Source organism: Homo sapiens, chromosome 15, assembly GCF_000001405.40.
Source record: "Homo sapiens chromosome 15, GRCh38.p14 Primary Assembly".
NCBI classification, from domain to species: domain Eukaryota; kingdom Metazoa; phylum Chordata; class Mammalia; order Primates; family Hominidae; genus Homo; species Homo sapiens.
Window position 1 is genome coordinate 28,173,370 of NC_000015.10, and position 18,892 is coordinate 28,192,261.

At 41.4% G+C, this 18,892-nt stretch overlaps 1 protein-coding gene across 11 annotated transcripts in view; it reads right to left on the reverse strand.

The window, feature by feature from the left end:
* HERC2 (HECT and RLD domain containing E3 ubiquitin protein ligase 2) overlaps positions 1-18,892 on the reverse strand; it is a 211,140-nt gene that overhangs the window by 62,330 nt on the left and 129,918 nt on the right. For 10 of the 11 annotated variants that reach the window (XM_006720727.4, XM_006720726.4, NM_004667.6 and 7 more), the window contains 13 exons: positions 18,592-18,782; positions 17,770-17,875; positions 17,596-17,687; positions 13,208-13,383; positions 9,032-9,143; positions 5,773-5,854; positions 5,518-5,661; positions 4,050-4,140; positions 3,581-3,758; positions 3,318-3,399; positions 3,059-3,230; positions 2,143-2,287; positions 1,026-1,251 (listed from right to left, as the gene is read on the reverse strand). In XM_006720727.4, the coding sequence (XP_006720790.1) occupies positions 1,026-1,251; positions 2,143-2,287; positions 3,059-3,230; positions 3,318-3,399; positions 3,581-3,758; positions 4,050-4,140; positions 5,518-5,661; positions 5,773-5,854; positions 9,032-9,143; positions 13,208-13,383; positions 17,596-17,687; positions 17,770-17,875; positions 18,592-18,782 (1,797 nt within the window). Of the gene's footprint in view, positions 1-1,025; positions 1,252-2,142; positions 2,288-3,058; positions 3,231-3,317; positions 3,400-3,580; positions 3,759-4,049; positions 4,141-5,517; positions 5,693-5,772; positions 5,855-9,031; positions 9,144-13,207; positions 13,384-17,595; positions 17,688-17,769; positions 17,876-18,591; positions 18,783-18,892 lie in introns of those variants that run through there. The other variant, XM_047433208.1, reaches the window with a different exon arrangement.

Genomic DNA, 18,892 nt, shown 5'->3' on the forward strand with positions numbered 1-18,892 from the left:
ATACTATTCAACAATTTAAAAAGAATAAACTATCGATACATGCAACATAAGTGAATCTCAAAATTATTATGCTGAGTGGAAAAAGATTTTTAAAAAGAGTATATGCTGTATGATTCTATTTATAGTAAGCTGTACAACATGCAAACTGGTCTGCCACGGTGGCTCCTGCCCATAATCCCAGCACTTTGGGAGGCCAAGATGGGAGGATCACTTGAGCTCAGGAGTTCAAGACCAACCTGAGCAACATGGCAAAACCCTCTCTCCACCAAACAAACAAACAAAAATTAGCCAGGCATGGTGACATGTGCCTGTAGTCCCAGCTATTTGGGAGGCTGAGGTGGAAGGATCACTTGAGCCCAGGAGGTGGAAGCTGCAGTGAGCCAAAATCGTGCCACTGCACTCCAGAGTGAGACCCTGTCTACAAAAAAAAAAAAAAAAACCCAACCAAACAACAACAATAACAAAAAGAAAACATGCAAACTGATCTCTAGTGACAGAAATTAAATTGGTGCATACGGCAGGAAGGAGGGAGTTAAAAGCAAAAGGGAGGGGTACAGAGGGCCAGAGAGGAACGCTGGGGTAGTGTATGAGTTCATTATCTTTGATTGTGCTGATGCTTTCATGGATCATACATATTCCAAAGTCAATCAAAATGCATACTTTAAATAGGTGCAGTTTATTATATGTCAATTATAACTGAATAAAGCTGTTAAAAAATACAAAAGAGCCCAGTACAGTGCCTGTATCTCTCAGGCAGTTATTAGGAGTCCTGTTCACACAGAAGGACAGCGCTGTGAGTTTACCTGATCATAAATACAAGAATCAGCAACATACTTTCTTCTAAAATTTTCATTCCAGCATGTATAAATCGCATGAGAGCACACCATAATTCTTCTGTGTCTTTAGAGTCATAATGCAGTTAACATGGCACTACAACCTCTAATTGTGTTGGCACAATTAAATAAATCTATAAGGTTGCTGTAAACCTACAGAAAAATCTCAGAGAAGATACAAATCTGTGTTACCTAAATAGGAAGCACCTAAAGGGTCTCTTGCAGTCTGGAAGAGGACGGGCTCGTGGACAGAGGGCGTGGCCACATCCACAGTTGTCCACGCCACACTGTGGGACGACCCACAAGCCACGCGTGTGATCTTCTGGCCTTCTAAGCCTTGCACGAGTGTGGGCTTCCTGTTAACCGTGGTCGTGCCATTGCCCTGCTGGCCGTGGTCGTTGTCACCCCAAGCATACACCTGTTTACGAGGAGAAAAAAGCTTATAATTTTTCAACATTTCAGGACATTTTCTTTAATGTAATTTTTACTTCAAAATGCTTAACGCGTATGCCACGGTAGTTGAAAGAATTGAGTTCTTAAAGGTAAAAACAAACCATTTCACAATCTTTCAAAATGGCATCAGCGTACTACAATTCTGAAGAAAATCTAACCATGAAAATGCTTGCTAATACCTATAAAAGGAGTATTTTCTTAATATTAATCCAATTCTGCTTTGTTGCAAGACACACAGAAGGTCCTCTCTCTAACTAAGTGTAATAATTTTTTCCCTTTTATTTTGCAAAGAAAAATGACCAAAAACAGTATGCTCATTTTTCAAGTAAGTTGCTTCTTGGCCTTATAGAATTATAAAGTAAAATTCATTCTGACTAAAATACAGTAATGGTAATTTTGTTTCCATAAATAAAATTTAAAATTGAATATCCATAAGCCAGTCATAGCGTATGCTTCTCCAAGCAGAAGAGAGTGTAACACTTGTCAGGCACTAGCTCTGTCTCTAAAATGAGGCATGGATCCCTCCTCGCCAGTTACCAATTCTCTAAAGGAAAGTCTTGCTAATATCTTGCACTAGGAGCATCTTCAAGAATAACAGTCTTTCCACACACTTTTCACGTGGACTTCAGAGTGGGAACGCCTCTTTTCTGAGGACCCCGCCCCCAACCCCTGCTGCAAAGCAGGCAGATACACCAGTGGGCAAAAGGAACAGGACCCGCCCTCATGGTTCTCCAAGCAGTAAGACTCAGCTGATTTCATCAACAGCTGTGATTTCAACAGGACGAAGGCCGTGTCATGACCCCCACGTCCCCCAAGTCAGGATGGCACGCCACCCCCAGGCCACCTGCAGCCTTACCTGCCCCGAGTCCGTGACCGCCAGGCAGTGCAGGGCCCCGACAGCCACATGCACGATCTTCTTCCCTCTCAGCCCTTCCACCACCTGTGGTTTCCGCACGTGCACGTCAGAGCCGTGGCCCAATCTGAAGTAATCCCCCTTTCCCCTGAGAGAAGGCCCATGGTGGAGAGTTACAATACGGTTATGGTCTGACAATGCTATACAAGAAGACACTCATTGTCTCACATCTTTCACAGCCAGCTCAATGACATCACACACAGCACCCAAGGTCTTCAAACTTGTATTCAAAATCATACACCATTAATTCAAATTAACTTATTAAGCCAGCTGGGAAAAACCTTAATACCTTAATACATATTTTATGATATTTAAGTTACTGTTGTAGGTTTTCATATAAAGAGACTGAAAATAAGACACACTACTGCAAACACCTATCCAAAGTCCTATCTGGTATACATCTTTCTCAAGCTGCCTCGGGTCATGACATTGGCACTAAGGCCTGACACACCATCCACAGCCAGTCCAGGCACCTGCTCTTTTGCATATTAATAAAATAAGCTTTTACAAGAAACACATGTTAACTTTTTCAGGATCAAAGGATTCAGAAGGCTATTTTGCTCCATTTTATCCTTAGGCTTCAGCAGAAGAAACCGTTCCCATAAATCTCACCCAAACAGGAAAGGTAAGTGGCCTAAAATTTTTCTAGTATTTTCAAAATGACCCAGTTACAATGGGAAATTTCTTCTTGTACTATTGTCACTAATCCCAACTCAATATCCTTTAAAGGACAAAGATGCATGCATAAGTAAAAAGAGGACACGTCACAATCACGCCGGGTGAGCCTGGGGCGAGGCCCAGGTTCCCTGCACACACCTGCACAAGCACACACAGTGTGACAGGGAGGACGTTTACGTACCATGTCCACACCACTCCAGACTTGGTGAGCGCCAGGGAGAACTGAGCTCCACACTCAATCTGGCACACCCCCTGTCCATTTAGTCTCTCAATGTTCTGGGGAATGTTACAGCCTTCACTTCCGCCCCGGCCCAGTTTTCCAAAGTCACCATCACCCCAGGAAAATACCAAACCTAGGTTTAAGAAACACATATACTTCAGGCCAGCGTTTCATATCATTCCTACCCACCCAGAAGCACAGAATCCTGCCAGCCACTCACCTTCATCGGTCAGAGCCAGGGTCTGCGCGTCTCTACTCCCACATGCAACCTGGATTACTCTGTGACCGAGAAGGACTTTCACCTACTCAATTACAAATTTAAAAACAGAATCACGCACAGGCACGGAGAAAGCAATGGATTTTCCCACAGATAAAGCCAACCATGCACACATCTTTATGAACTTTCCTAGACTTGAAGCTTATTTTCTCTTGACATCTTCAGATGGTAAGCTTTCTGCAAGCAACAAAAATGCGTATAATCACCATTTTGGGCTTTAGCTGTGTCGTATTATCCCCATGTCCCAGCCGGCCGTACTCGCCGAGGCCCCAGGTGTACAGTTCTCCGCTGGATGTGAGGGCTGCGCTGTGCGAGCTCCCACAGGCGATATCCCGGATACGCTTGGTTTTCAGGGCCTCGATCAGCCTTGGTTTGTCACAGTTCCTACAACAAGATGAAATCAGCTCTCTACAGTCAATCTGTCCCTTCTTAGAGATGAAGGAAAAAAGACATCTATACTGATCCACATGTAGTCAACACAGGATCCACAGATCAACTATCAAAACTTAAAGCAGAACCGGTGAGACCAAAACACAAACAACCGTGTTAAAAAAATTTTGTTTAAGAACCATTTCTATAATCTATTCTATTCTAATTTTCTGCAAAATAATTCTCAAGAGTATCAGTCAGAAACAGTTTCTTATTAGCAAATGAGACTAAAAAAAGTACCCTTACATTCTGCTGAAGTGTCCAAGTTTTCCATCGTCACCTTCGCCCCACGAAAACACTTTTCCATCGACAGTTAAAGCCGTCGCGTGCCGGCCACCTGCAACATTCACAGACACACGGATTGCCAAAGGGCAGGGAACAGAAAGCCCACAGCATAGCTAGCTCCCTATTTTGCCTGGCATATAGCACACACTCAATGAGCGTGAGCTGAATAAATGAGTAACTCAACAGGATCAACAGCGGAGTTAGCAGGAAAGCTTCCTGGGACATATGTGCCAAATAGGTGAATTTTCACTAAACTACAAATTTTAACTCTAGAAAGAATTTGCAAAGAGGCAAAATAATACTGATTATTAATGGGGTTCCTATTATGTTAAATACACGAAAAATCAAAATTTAGATGAAAAAAGTAAAAATAATTTGTGATTAGACAAAATGTAAAAATAGTGTCAATTTAAGTTTTTGAGAACTGTACCTCAACAGTGAAATTATTCAATCATTTGCGATTAATGCAATATATTCACTCTTCCCAAAACACGTCAGCTTATGCTCTTTCCCCAGCATGGAATATTCTCAAAGTCCATACAACCTGCCTCAGGATTAAAGGCATGACCACTCCTATACAGTGAGTTCCTGCCAACTCCTGGGCTTTGAGAACATCACAGCAGACCCTGCTTCTTCCCCCAACCCTCATTCTCCCCCTTCCTTACCAACAGAACCCCCATGTTAAAGTGCTCAGCTAATTCCCAGCCTCCTCTGCCCCCAGGAGATGGTGACTGAAATGAGTGGGGCTTCCGAGGGGCTCTGGAGAGGGGGCTGCGTGGGCAGGAGGGCACACTGTGTGGTGCTTGCCTCTTCTGCCAGGCCTGGCCCTGGACTCTGGGGGCGAGAGCTAGTCTAAGACCATCTTCCCACAAAGGTGGACACAAAGGACCAGCACTCCTCATAGACACAGCCCTGCTGGACAGACTCTGACCCCACCTCTGGACTTTTACAAAGGAGAAAAGTAAAACTCTATATTGCTTAAGCCACCATCATTTGGATTTCCTGTTATGCAAGTTACACTGAGCCCCGTTCAGCATAGGCATGAACTGAATTAGAACTTTGTGTCTAATTCAGTTCCATTCCTCAGAGGCCTAGCACGGTGCCTCCAAAATAAACACTCCCTACACTGAAAGAGTGGTTTCATTTTCTTTTAAAGGATCTTTCTCATTACTTGGGTTCATAGATGGTTTTGGGAATCTGAAGAAAGTTATAGACTCTTTCTCAGAAAAACAGCCTACTTTTAGGCAAAGAACTTGATTTAGCAGCAATAACTAAATTCTAGACCACCTAGAGATTTACATTATCCAATTTTTATTCCTACTAAGTAAAAACTTAAGAAAGAATGTAAGGACACCAATTAGGGCTTTGGTTAACAACGGAGCAGGAGCAAAGGCCGCCCCGCACAGGCCTCCTGGTGCTTGGCTTGTACCTGAGTGAACAGCCACCTTCTTGACCACGTAGCTGCTGAGAGCTGTGATCTGCCGTGGGATGGGCACCGTCCCGCTGGAAATGCCCAGCCCCAGCCGGCCATTCGTGGCTTCTCCACAGGCATACACCTTCCCTTCCACAGTCACTGCAAGGAACGACAGCCAGGAGAGGACTCTCTTTTCACAACATTAAAAACTTTTTTGTTTTTTGGTGCCAAGCATAATTTAAAAATTTTTTAAGATTAGAATAATCATACCTGCAAACAAACTTTTAGATCCACCAGCCACCTGTACCACATTCAAAGCTGACAGTGTCTCAGAGAACGAAGGAACCTTTATCTACAACAGAATTTTTTTAACAAAAAAAAAAGAAAAGAAAATTTTACTTGCATGTTTAAAATTATGTTACCTTATTATATGATACAAGGAATTACAGTTATGCACTGTGTAACATTTCACTCAACCACAGGCTACATATACGATGGCAGTCCCAGTAGATTATAATGGAGCTGAAAAATCCTTACTGCCTAGTGGTGTCCTGGCCGTGACAACGTCACAGCACAACCTATTCCTCATGTGTCTGTGGTGATGCTGGTGTCAACAAGCCTCTGTGCTGCCAGCTACATATCAACAATCCCTAATACCTCACCATGATAACAGACTACTGCTACTGGGCTATATATTCACTCTCCTGTACTTTCTATCATTCTTTTAGAGTGTATTCCTTCTACTTTTTTGTTTTTTAAGCTAACTGTAAAAAGCCTGCGGCTGGTGCTTCAGGAGGGATTCCAGAAGGCACTGCTGTCACAGGAAAGGACAGCTAGCTCCTTTGTGGGGGTGAAAGAGAGCAACACTATGATCCTAGCTAGGCTAATGTATGTGTTTGGGTCTTAGTTTTTAACAAACACGTTAAAAAGTAAAAGAATAAATGTTAAAGATAGAAAAAAGCTTACAGCATAAGAATGTAAAGAAAACATTTTGTGCAGAGCTGTGTTTGTGTTTTAAGCTAAGTATTATTACAAGAGTCAAAAAGTTTTTTAAAAAGTGAAAAGTTCATAAAGTTACAAATAATTTATTATTAAAGAAAGAAAAATATTTTGCATAGAGTCACCTAAGCATATAGTGTTTCTAAAGTCTACAGTAACATGCAGTGATGTCCTGGCCTTCACGTTCACTCACCACTCTCTCACTGACTCGCCCAGAGCAACTTCCAGTCCTGCAAACTCCATTATTCATGGTAAGTGCCCTATGCAGGTGTTCCATGTTTTATCTTTTACAATGTATTTTTACCGTACCTTTTCGATGTTTAAATACACACATGCCACTGAGTTACAACTGCCTACCATATTCAGTACAGTTCCATGTTGTAGCCTAGAAGCAACAGGCTATACCATATAGCCTGAGTGTGTAGTAGGCTACACCATCTACCTTTGTGTTAAGTACACTCTATCATTTTCCAACAATGACAAAATCACCCAACCAAAACTTTCTCAGAATATATCCCCATCATTAAGTAATGCATGACTGTACTACTAATATGTATGGTTACATTAACCAAAGGCATTGGTTATCCCTTAGAGATTCACACTGGAGTATTTTAAGAATGAAATGATACACTGTGATTGACTTTAAACCAGAGTTGGGGGAATGGGAGGATAAAGACAGAAAAACGTAGACAGCTGCTGGTAACTATGGAAGCTGTACCAGGGACATGAGGGTTCATGAAGCTATTCACTCTATGTGGGTACATCTGAACAGTTCCATAGTAGAAAGTGAAAAATAAAATACAGTTGGTCCTCTGTATCCATAGGTTCCACGTCCATGAATTCAACCACCCATGGATTGAAAATATTTTTTATTGCACGTGTACTAAATATGTACAGATATTTTTGTTGCCATTATTCCCTAAACAATGTAATATAACAACTATTGACATACCATTTACATTGTATTAGGTATTCTGAGTAATCTGAAGATGATATACAGTATTTGGGAGGGTGTACATAGGTTATATGCAAACACTACACTGTTTTATATCAGGGACTTGAGCATCCACAGATCTTGGTATCCACAGGAAGTCCTGGAACAAATCCACGGATACTGAGGGATGACTATGCATATAATGTAAAGATAAAAACACACACCTGTAGACTATGCCTTATTTCAAGTCATGTCCTGCTCACTCTCTGATTCTGACTCTGACATCTCTAAGAAATCATATGCTTAAATTTCCCATTGTAGATGGATGTAATTTAAAATTCCTAGGGCCCTTTGTCTAAAAAACCTTTATGATTCCCTGGGTGAAATAGTCACTACTGCAGCGGAAGAAAGGATTTTCATCACAACCGTGGAACACCGACTCTGTCCTTGAAGTGAAAACTCCATGTAAGGCAGTGAGCAAGGTCATAGGCTCCCACCAATGGCCTGCACCTCAGGGACCTCTGGACAGCCCTGCATTCCCGCAGCTGAGACACTCACAGCTCACTGCCCACTGTCCACTTCCCAAACCAAGCTCAGGTACACTGAAACACAAATGCAATTCAAGACTGCTCCAATACAGATAAAAACTAATTGCACCTTGAAAGGAAAGAGTTCAAATGAATGAGTTCTAACTTTATTTCTCAGTTTCTCAATAGGGCAGGCAATAAAGAAAACGTATGATGTGATGTCTCACAGAATACTAACAGGAAGCATAAGCTCACGTGAACACAGAGAGTGCCTCTGGGCAATAAAATTTAGAGGAATTTGCTTTGTGGCTCCTCAGCCAGGAGACACTAAGTAATACAAGGAATGCTGAATTCAACTCCAATTCAAATGCATCATTTCTTACACCTATTCTTTTCAAAATATGGTCTTTTTCTCCTAAGCAACTCAAAATACAAATTAACCTCTCATCCAAGTACCTAGGGGATGAAGGACGTTGTGAACACAGAGGCTATGGCACGGCTTCCCGTGCAAGCTTCATGGTTTACTGACAAGGTGAATGAGATCATGGCGCTCTCCACCCACAACAAGCCCTGCAGAGAATAAGGCAAGTGTGTATGCGCACACATGTGCATTCTGCTTGTTTCTCTGTGCTCGCAAAGCGTTCTCTCTCTGTGCAAGCTACTTCACCCTGAAGAATCTCAGGCGCGAAGCACCTGGAGGACAGAGACAACAATTTGCTCATCTGTGGGCCACTACAGCCTTTTTACACATTATTTTGTTCATGATAGTCAAAAATGTTTATTGTAGGGAAGGCAAGATACACCTATTGACAGTCTATAATTTTCATTTATGCACTTGTCAAATCTTTTCAAAAGTTCATTTTCTAGTTTACAAGACCGCAATAAGACAATTATACCTAAAGTGAAATTTTTCAAGGAGAGACGCTTCTGAGGGGTAATTTGATAATGTCTTTTAGTTCGTGTAAAGAAACAATACAACATATAGAGAGTAAAGTTATTATAGAAACTTCACGAGGTGTGGCTGCTGCCGAGTGCCCCACCCTGCTGGGTCCCAGGGAGCAGGCCGTACCTTGGAGCCTTTCAGCCCGCCCAGCTGGTCCTTGTCATTCAGGCCCCACACAAACACCTTGGTTCTTATCGTAGCTGCTGATTCCAGCCCAGCAGCCTTCTTTCTAATGAGGCTAACCAAACGGAAAAAAAAAAGAAAAAGAAAAGAGAGGTTATTCAGCATAAAACATTTAAAAAATAAAAAGAAAAGCAACCTCAAGCACTCAAAGTTTTATGGTTACTTTCAGAAACTCTTAAAATTTTGCTTTAATAGAAAAAAACCTCAAGCATGTACAGGAGTAAGTCCTCTGGAGGGTCAAATTTTCTAGATACAACCATGCCACCTTTTAATACTAGCACTTAATTTCAGCCTTTATTTTTGGTGGAAAACGATGATACACCAGGCCTTCTCTTTCATCTTAAATACCAACGTGAACATGGGTGGGAATCATTCCAAGCCATGGAAACAGACGCACAGCTGCTACAAATGGCACTGTAGAGACACTGAGGAAACCTGCCCAGGAGCCACGCTGGGTCTGGCCTTGCAGCACTATCCCCAAATCTAGACAGCTGTTTGGCCAATTATTTTCCCACAGAAAGAATAAAACGGATGTGGCCACATGACCATGGAGTTACTTTAACACAGACACATGTCCCAATGTAAAATGCTTCTCTCTTCCTTTATACCCTCTGCCCAGGACACCGGCCAGAGGAACCTGATCATCGGCCAGCTAAGCTGAAAGTCCTCGTCTCCTGTCCTTCCCAGAGGGCTTGCTCCTTCCACCTTGCTCATCTATCTCCTGACCTGCCCTCAACAGGTTAGGAGTTTATTTATTTTTTGTTTGTTTTGAGACAGGGTCATGCTCTGTCACTCAGGCTGGAATACAGTGGCATAATCCCGGTTCACTGTAGCTTCAACCTCCCAGGCTCAAGCAATCCTTCCACCTCAGCCTCCCGAACAGCTGGCACTATAGGCCTGCACCATCATGCCCAGCTAATTTTTGCATTTTTTTTTGTAGAGACGGGGTCTCACTATATCGTCAAGGCTGGTCTTGAACTCCTGGGCTCAAGTGATCCTCCCTGCTCAGCCTCCTAAAGTGCTGGGATTACAGGTGGGAGCCACCACACCCAGCAGGTTAGAAGTTTAATCAACAGCATCCAAAACACTCCAATTCTTGCAACTTGAAAAGAGTACACAGGACAGTGTTAGATTTTCTTGGCTGATGGTCTGATGCCAGGTGCTAAGGAATTGCTGCTTCTGTGTTTGGGGTTTTCACCTTTGTGTTTGCTTTTGCTCTATTTTTATAAGCTAGGATAGATGCCCAAAGGCACCAGACGGCTTCCAGACAGGTATCACTTTTTTCACACATTATATACTAATAAATATTTACTTTAAGGGTTCAAAATTTCATGTTTTGGAATAAAAGTGGAAAACTCTTTCATCCAATACTAGGCACAGGTGAGCAAGCATAAGCACAAAATATTGAAATATCTTGTGATACATTTTTACTTAAAAATATGTATGGGGACCAGGCACAGTAGCTCACACCTGTAATCCTAGCACTTTGGGAGGCCAAGGTGGGCAGATTCCTTGAGCCCAGGAGTTGGAGACCAGCCTGGGCAACACGGTGAAACCTCATTTCTACAAAAAAAATACAAAAAATTAGCCAGGTGTGGTAGCAGACACCTGTAATCCCAGCTACTTGGGAGGCTGAGGTGGGAGAATCACTTGAGCCCGGGAGGCAGAGGTTGCAGTGAGCTGAGATCATACCATTGCGATCCAGCCTGGGCAACAGAGTGAGACCCTATCTCAAAATATATATATATTTTCCATACACACATATATATACACACATATATGTATGCATGTATGTATGGGAAACCAGGACTGATATTCAAGATATTTAATGTCTGGCACCATGTAAGTATCAATCAGCCAGAGTGGAGGCCAGCTGTACGTGGTCAGTGTGGGAACATCCCAGTTGGGTGGCAGCCCTGTAGGAGGAGACTGCCTGGGCCACTGACTCATTCTGAAGTTATTAGCTAATTAATAAGATCTTACCAGAACAAAACCCATTACAATCAAGTATCTAGCTTTTCTTTCGACAATATATTCAATTACACAAAAATCTGATCAATGAGTAAAGCTCAAAACATTTTTGGTTATTCCACATATACAATATATGTATTAATAATTTTATGGCCAGGCGCAGTGGCTCACGCCTATAATCCCAGCACTTTGGGAGGCTGAGGCAGGCGGATTACGAGGTCAGGAGATCGAGATCATCCTGGCTAACACGGTGAAAGCCCGTCTCTACTAAAAATACAAAAAAATTAGCCGGGCATGGCGGCGTGCACCTGTAGTCCCAGCTACTCAGGAGGCTGAGGCAGGAGAATGGCGTGAACCCAGGAAGCGGAGCTTGCAGTGAGCCGAGATTGCACCACTGCACTCCAGCCTAGGTGACGGAGCAAGACTCCGTCTCAAAAAATAAATAAATAATAATTTTATTTGTCCAATTCATTTTAGTAGCTACTGAGTAAGAAAATGCTAATCTATTGTAGGGGCAACCCACCCCTACAATCTATAATCCTTTTATTAAAAATCCCAATGACTTCCTTATTTAAGTGAACTGGTATTGTCCCTATTTAATTAATATCTACAGATGCAATCAGTTTGAACTACAGCATATAGTATAACATATATTCTAGATAAGGTAATGTTATAGATACTATTTTCTTTTCAACTTCTACACAAAGTTTCTGAAATAAAACAGGACAGAATCCAAAGCCAAGATCACAGAGCCCTAGAATAACCTGATTTATTACCAGAACTACTACCCCCCACTTCTGTCTATATAACGTGCTCAACAGCGGCACAGGGCAGTGCTCTGTTGTCTCCTCATGTCACACGCTGCAGAGTACTTAGAGCACAGGGTGTCTTGGTCAACAGAGTTCAGCCAGCACTGGCGGCTTGCCTCCTGTGCCTGTCTGGAGGGCCCCGGTCACACTAGCAATCCAAAGCGCCTTGGGAATGTTAACAACATATCCATTTATTTTGCATACCCTTTGACTTAGCAATTTCACTTTCAGCAATTTATCTAGGAAAATACAACTTCTATGAGGACACTGATTATCCTCCATTGTTATTATCCACTATTATCCACTGTTTGCTGCTGGGATGGTAAACAAGGCTTAGAGCAGCCCCTGCAAATGCAAGTTCTAGATACATGCCCTGGGAAATGCACAAGCATGCAAAAACTTCGCAGATATCATTCTCCTCTGGTATGCTGTCTTCCCTATCAGAAACGCCCTTGCCTGTCCACTTTGTTTCAGTAATTCTGACTTCTGTACGTATGGCCTGGGGGGAAGTTTTCCTTGTCCTGACAGATCAATGCTCCAATGCAGACTCTCAAGGCTGTATGCACTTCTTCCTGCCTCTTACCAAAGGCCTAATAGCACACTGATGCATGTGTTTGTCTTGTTTTATTTTGCATGTTCATCACAGTGTTCCCAGTACACATAACTGGGAATGGCCCACAGTAGGCATTCAAAAGATGTTGAATGAATAAATACAACAACAGTCATCATCACAGTGCTCAGATAAAATAAGGAATTGAGTGAGTAAATGAGAACAGTCATAAGATGAAATACTGCACTCAAAAATTACAGGACTGAAGACTAATCATATGGAAATTCTAGCGATGGACAATAGTGATGGTTGCACAAAAATATGAATGTACTTAATGCCACTGAACTGTACACTTAAAATGGTAAACAATATATATATTTCACCATAATAAAAAATAAATACATTTTTTGAAGTTAATGATAAAATACTTAACAAAAAGAGCTTTAAAATATACCATACAACTTCCATAGGACAATAAATTTAGTAACAGAAAAAAAGGAAAACTACAAAGATATATACCAAAATAGTCACAGTGATATTTTAGGTAGAGATATTAAACATTTTCATTTCCCTCTTTTAATGGTATTTTTCTAAATATAATGTGTTTCTACATTAAACACTTTATTTTTTAAAAAATACAATTTTTGGAAACAACTGTAATTTACCAATCGTGTGGACATAAAATGACTCTCAGTATGAGACACATTCTAATTAAATGTTTCCTTTCGAAAGTGAGGATCCAGGAATGTAGCGGGAGGTAAGTGAGCACCTGTAACAAATGGTTCTCACCTTCCGCTGTTGCCTTTCTCATCCTCCTCCTCTTCATTATCCGAAGCTAAGAAAGGAACTGCAGCCAAATCTTCCTCTTCTGCACGGATCCGTCCCAGCAGGATGAGACCATGGATTTTACAATCGATTCCTGAGCTCCTGCACTGCTTTATAGCAATTTCAATATACCTGTGATACTAGACACAAAAACCATGATCTATAGACTCTGTAGAATCAAGCATATTAGATCCTCTAACTGGAGAACGGGATGTGTGAGACACGAACATGTACACACGGTTAGAGCTCCTTTACTTCAGTTCTGGAAATATCAACTGAGTTACTCAAAGTTAATGCAGCCACATCTGAGTAATGTTTACTTCAAAAGAAGTGGTCAACTCATCAAGATGTCTACCTGAGGCATGAGACACTCACTGATTTTCTTCCTAAAATTTTTAAATAGGATAACAGCCTTACTGAATGACTGCAAACTCTTCCGTCTTAGAGCTTTCTTGAACCAAGATGCTTTAACTAAGGAAGATATTAAATGTCAGGTAGTAACAGACCTTTCATCGTTTTTAAAACATAAAACATATTTGAATATACACAAATCAGAACAAATAGTACAAAGAACTCCATGACTCCATGACCCAGCTCAACAGTTACCAACATGTGACCAATCTTGTTCAGATATGGATTATCATTAAAAAATTCTAGGCATTATGCTGTTTCAAAACTTCAGTATATATCACTGAATTAAGGAGGTCTGGTTTTTTTTTTTGTTTTTTTGTTTTTTTTGAGATGGAATCTTGCTTGTTGCCCAGGCTGGAGTGCAGTGGTGCAATCTTGGTTCATTGCAACCCCTGCCTCCCGGGTTCAAGCGATTCTCCAACCTCAGCCTCCTGAGTACCTAAGACCACAGGCACTTGCCACCACACCCGGCTAATTTTTTGTATTTTTAGTAGAGACAAGGTTTCACCATGTTGGCTAGGCTGGTCTTGAACTTCTGACCTCAGGTGATCCACCTGCCTCAGCTTCCCAAAGTACTGGGATTACAGGAGTGAGCCACCGCGCCTGGCCAGAATTATGGAGTTTTTTGAAAAACATATCCGCATTGCTATTATCATAGCACAAACAATAACTCCCATATCACCCAATATGCTACAGTGATCAAACTTTTCTGATTATGTCATGTCATTTTATTGTTGCCTCATTCAAATCAGAACACAAGCAAGACCCAACCTTCCTCTGTTCTGCCTTTGCCATGCATTTAGTGGAGTTGGTCTACTTGTCCTGCAAATGTCCCACACCCCATGTGGCCGACTGCATGCCTGCTGTGGTACTGACAACATTCCTCCATCACTGTATTTCATGTGAACGAAGAGAGATGCGTCTGGAAGCACACACTAACAATTACTTTTTATTGCCTAAACGACCTGCTCAAACCTCAAGATCTACCATTTCAGAGGAAATACAGCTTGACCACCACCATAGGGATGCAAAAGCCAAGTTGAGAATATGAAGAATGCTACAGGAAACAATTACTCAGTTTTTTTTTTCTTTAGCAAGAAAAAAAACCAAGAGTGACTTAAGTGTAGTGTAGAATGCAAACATCATCTGAATCAGAAACTGCAAAAGGACATTTACAAGATAATTAGGAAAATCTGGACACTGACTGAATATTATATGACATTAAAGAGTAATTATTGGCTGGGCACGGTGGCTCACGCCTGTAATCCCAGCACTTTGGGAGGCCGAGGCAGGTGGATCACGAAGTCAGGAGATCGAGACCATCCTCGCTAACGGTGAAACCCCGTCTCTACTAAAAATACAAAAACAAAATTAGCCAGGCATGGTGGCAGGCGCCTATAGTCCCAGCTACTCGGGAGGCTGAGGCAGGAGAATGGAGTGAACCCGGGAGATAGAGCTTGCAGTGAGCCGGGATCACACCACTGCACTCCAGCCTGGGTGACAGAGTGAGACTCCGTCTTAAAAAAAAAAAAAAAGAGTACTTGTTAGAGGTGTGATAATGGTACCAAGGTTATATTTTGTTAAGCCCTGTCAGAGATGAATATTGAAGCAAGTGCTCCTGAAATAAGACCATGACTAGGACTTGCTGAGGCAGGGAAGTAAGGTGGGAGGGAGAAAGTGAAACATGACTGGCAAAATGTTGATAAATGTTGAAGCTGGGTGACAGGTTTGTGAGGGTTCCAGCATACTTTCTATTTTTGTTTACATGTTAGAAAAAACCCGGCTGGGTGCGGTGCCTCATGCCTGTAAATGCCAGCACTTTGGGAGGCCAAGGTGGGCAGATCACCTGAGGTCAGGAGTTCGAGACCAGCCTGGCCAACATGACAAAACCCCGTCTCTATTAAAAATACAAAAATTAGCTGGGTGAGGTGGTGGGCACCTGTAATCCCAGCTACTCGGAAGGCTGCGGCAGGAGAATCACTTGAACCCAGGATGTGGTGGTTGCGGTAAGCTGAGATCTGCCACTGCACTCCAGCCTGGGCGACAGAGTGAGACTCAGTCTCAAAAAAAAGAAAAGAAAATTCCCATAACAAACTATTTGTACAGCAAAGGCCATGCTTAAGATGCAGTGGCTCCACAGGAATGGTACAGTCTAGTTCTTTGGTCAGCTGGGGGCATGCAGGTTAGGTCAGGAGTTTTCCATTTACCTGCAATGCTTCGTATTTCTCATGTACATGACATACACTAAGTATCACAGGATGAATGGTTTTGAATTGAAAATTTCTTGGATTAAAGATATCTTTTACGAATGATAATCTCCATTGTTGATTTAATTACTTAGTTTCTGGTTTGGCTAAAGTAAAAACATCCTCTGAACTATGTAACTAAGGCACTCTACAGGCTGTATTCGGTTACATTGCAATAAGTTACCAGTAAAATGCATTAAAACTCAAGATTAATTTTTTCAGATAAATTCAATATTATCTTTCATTTTTATAGTTTGCCAATTTCTTCACTTATTAGCACCACTGGTATTGGCTATAATGAATCAGTGTATTATGAAATAGTTCCATGACATTCCAGAATAAATGGTAACTACTGTGAATGTACTACGTATTTCAAAATAGCTAAAAGAGAGGATTTTAAATGTTCTCACCACAAAAAAGTGATAAATATTTGAGGTGATGGATACATTATTTAGCATGATTTGATCATTCCACAAAGTATACATGTAACAAAACATCACAGTGTTCTCCAAAAATAAATACAAATTATTACAAATTACTATTTGGTTAAAACTAAAATAAAACTTTTTTAAAAAATGAATGGTTAACTACATTTAATAATTAAAAAATAAACTCATCAGTTATAAACTTTAAATGAATACAAAAATCAACTATTTGATATTTTTATCTGCTATCATTATAATTAGTCTACACCAGACAACAGTATACATAGTACAAAAATATCTTTTTTTTTCTTTCTTTCTTTTTTTTTTTTTTGAGACAAGAGTCTGGCTCTGTCGCCCAGGCTGGAGTGCAGTGGCACGATCTCGGCTCACTGTAAGCTCCGCCTCCCGGGTTCATGCCATTCTCCCGCCTCAGCCTCCCAAGTAGCTGGGACTACAGGTGCCTGCCACTACGCCCGGCTAATTTTTTTTTTTTTTTTTTTTTTTTTAGTAGAGACGGGGTTTAACTGTGTTAGCCAGGATGGTCTCGATCTCCTGAGCTCGTGATCTGCCCGCCTCAGCCTCCCAGAGTGCTGGGATTACAGGCGTGAGCCACCGCGCCCGGCCAACAAAAGTATCTTAATTTGTCTTATTTTACATATATTTAATGTATTAAAAATCATGCTGACATCCTATGTGGAAAGGTTTACTAAAAATTTGAGAGAGAGAGATAATTGCTGATCTGTAGTATGTGGGTACTGTTTAAAAGAACCTTCACTGATTCTTTCAAACTTTTCCAGAGATAAACTTAGACTCATTTTGAAAGCTGCCTTATTAACCAAAAAATTGCCACTCCGTGACAAGTTCAGCACTTGATGCCAACAGGTGTGACGACAAAAAAGCAACTTCAGCGTCACATATATGGTCAGGAAAACCACCAGAAACTGAGATATTTAATGAAAACCGAAGTGTTCAGATGCAATCAGCAACCTAAAATGCCTGATGAAAACTTTTGCTAGGAGCAGTTACCAAGTATACCTCTGCTACCAAAGAGAGTGAGAATGAAATTTGTTTCCTTTTCAAGCTGAACTGATAAGCAGCAAATTCAGTTGTACAAAATAAGTTGTATCTTTTAAAGTGTCAAAATTTAAAACAGAAAGAACCAATTATTTAAACGGGGAAAAACTGGGCTCAATGCTAGTATAGAAATGGCCAAGTCACCTCCCTTGTCATCTGTAAATCATCCAAATGGAACACTAGCATAGCTACTTACCTCTGTGCAGTCATTCAGAAGGGGCACTGTGGTGTCAGAAGGGTTAATATTGATTGTCTTTAGTTCAATAAGGTTATTCAGGGAATTTCCACCTAGGAAAAAATGGGTAAAGAATCAAACAAAGGCGTCTTTATTATAGAAGGTACTTCTTTTTAGGTAAACTAACTGAATTACCTGACACTACAACCAGGGACGGCATGTAGCTACTGTCAGCAGGATCTACGATCATTTTTAATCTATGAACAAGAACATCTGGGAAAATCTCCAAACGAATCCAGTGCTTTAGAAAAACAAAAAAACCACATTCTCAGTTAGCAAAATTCAGCTATATTTTAGCTACTACAATAGTATCGTTGAAGCTTGAATCTACATGAGATTTTTTCAATATAAAATGTAGCATGAGAGAGAATTTTCCCTCAACCTGGCAGCAACAAGAATATTCTACGCCATTCTTTGATTGTTAGAGAAAAGTCTCACTCTAAGACTCAGAAACCATGTATCTATATACTCCTGGCCTAGGGTGGTCCTTTTACCCACCAAGTGAGTGACAGAAAACACTACAGTCGAGATGGAGAAAGGCCCTGTCCTAAAGTCTGACCTGTGTGCCCACGAGGTGCCTCCACGCGTTGGTGTAATCACAACAGCACTCCAATGTGCAACACAAATTTGCTAGACTATACTAGAAAAACTTCTAACCAGAAGCAAATCTGAATTCATACATTCTATGCAGGAGAGGAGGAAAAAAAGCCTGACCACATCCTCTATCAAGTGGTCAGTTAGATAAAATCTATTACTCGTATTGTTTAAAATCTCTGACAATAAAATTGGATGGTATATAACTCTAACTTTGAAATAACTTATAAATTAAAACATAACGTGAGTACTGACAGGTGCTATCAGCAAAACTTTGCAGGCTGCTCAAAGTTCATTTTGAAAATGTACAAGGCAAAACCATCGGTGTGAAAGTGCCCGCTGCTGTGCCCTATTAGATGCTACCTTTCCTTGCGACCCCGATGACTGCCAGCAGGGCTCGCTGCCGTCAATGAGACGGGATGCCTGGTTCACGGAGGACGACACATTCAGGCTCTTCACCATGCGGGACCAGCTGTCCAGCAGCATGCCTGGCTGGCTGCTGTGGCAACGCTTCAGCTGTTTTCCAGAACGGCCACAAAATACCGCAGACTGACCTATTTCGTGATAGTCAAAAAGAGAATTAACCCTTGCTGAACTGGGGAGAAACATCATGATCAAGAATATTACATAGTAAGGAGCTTCTTAAAGAAAAATAGAAAGTTTC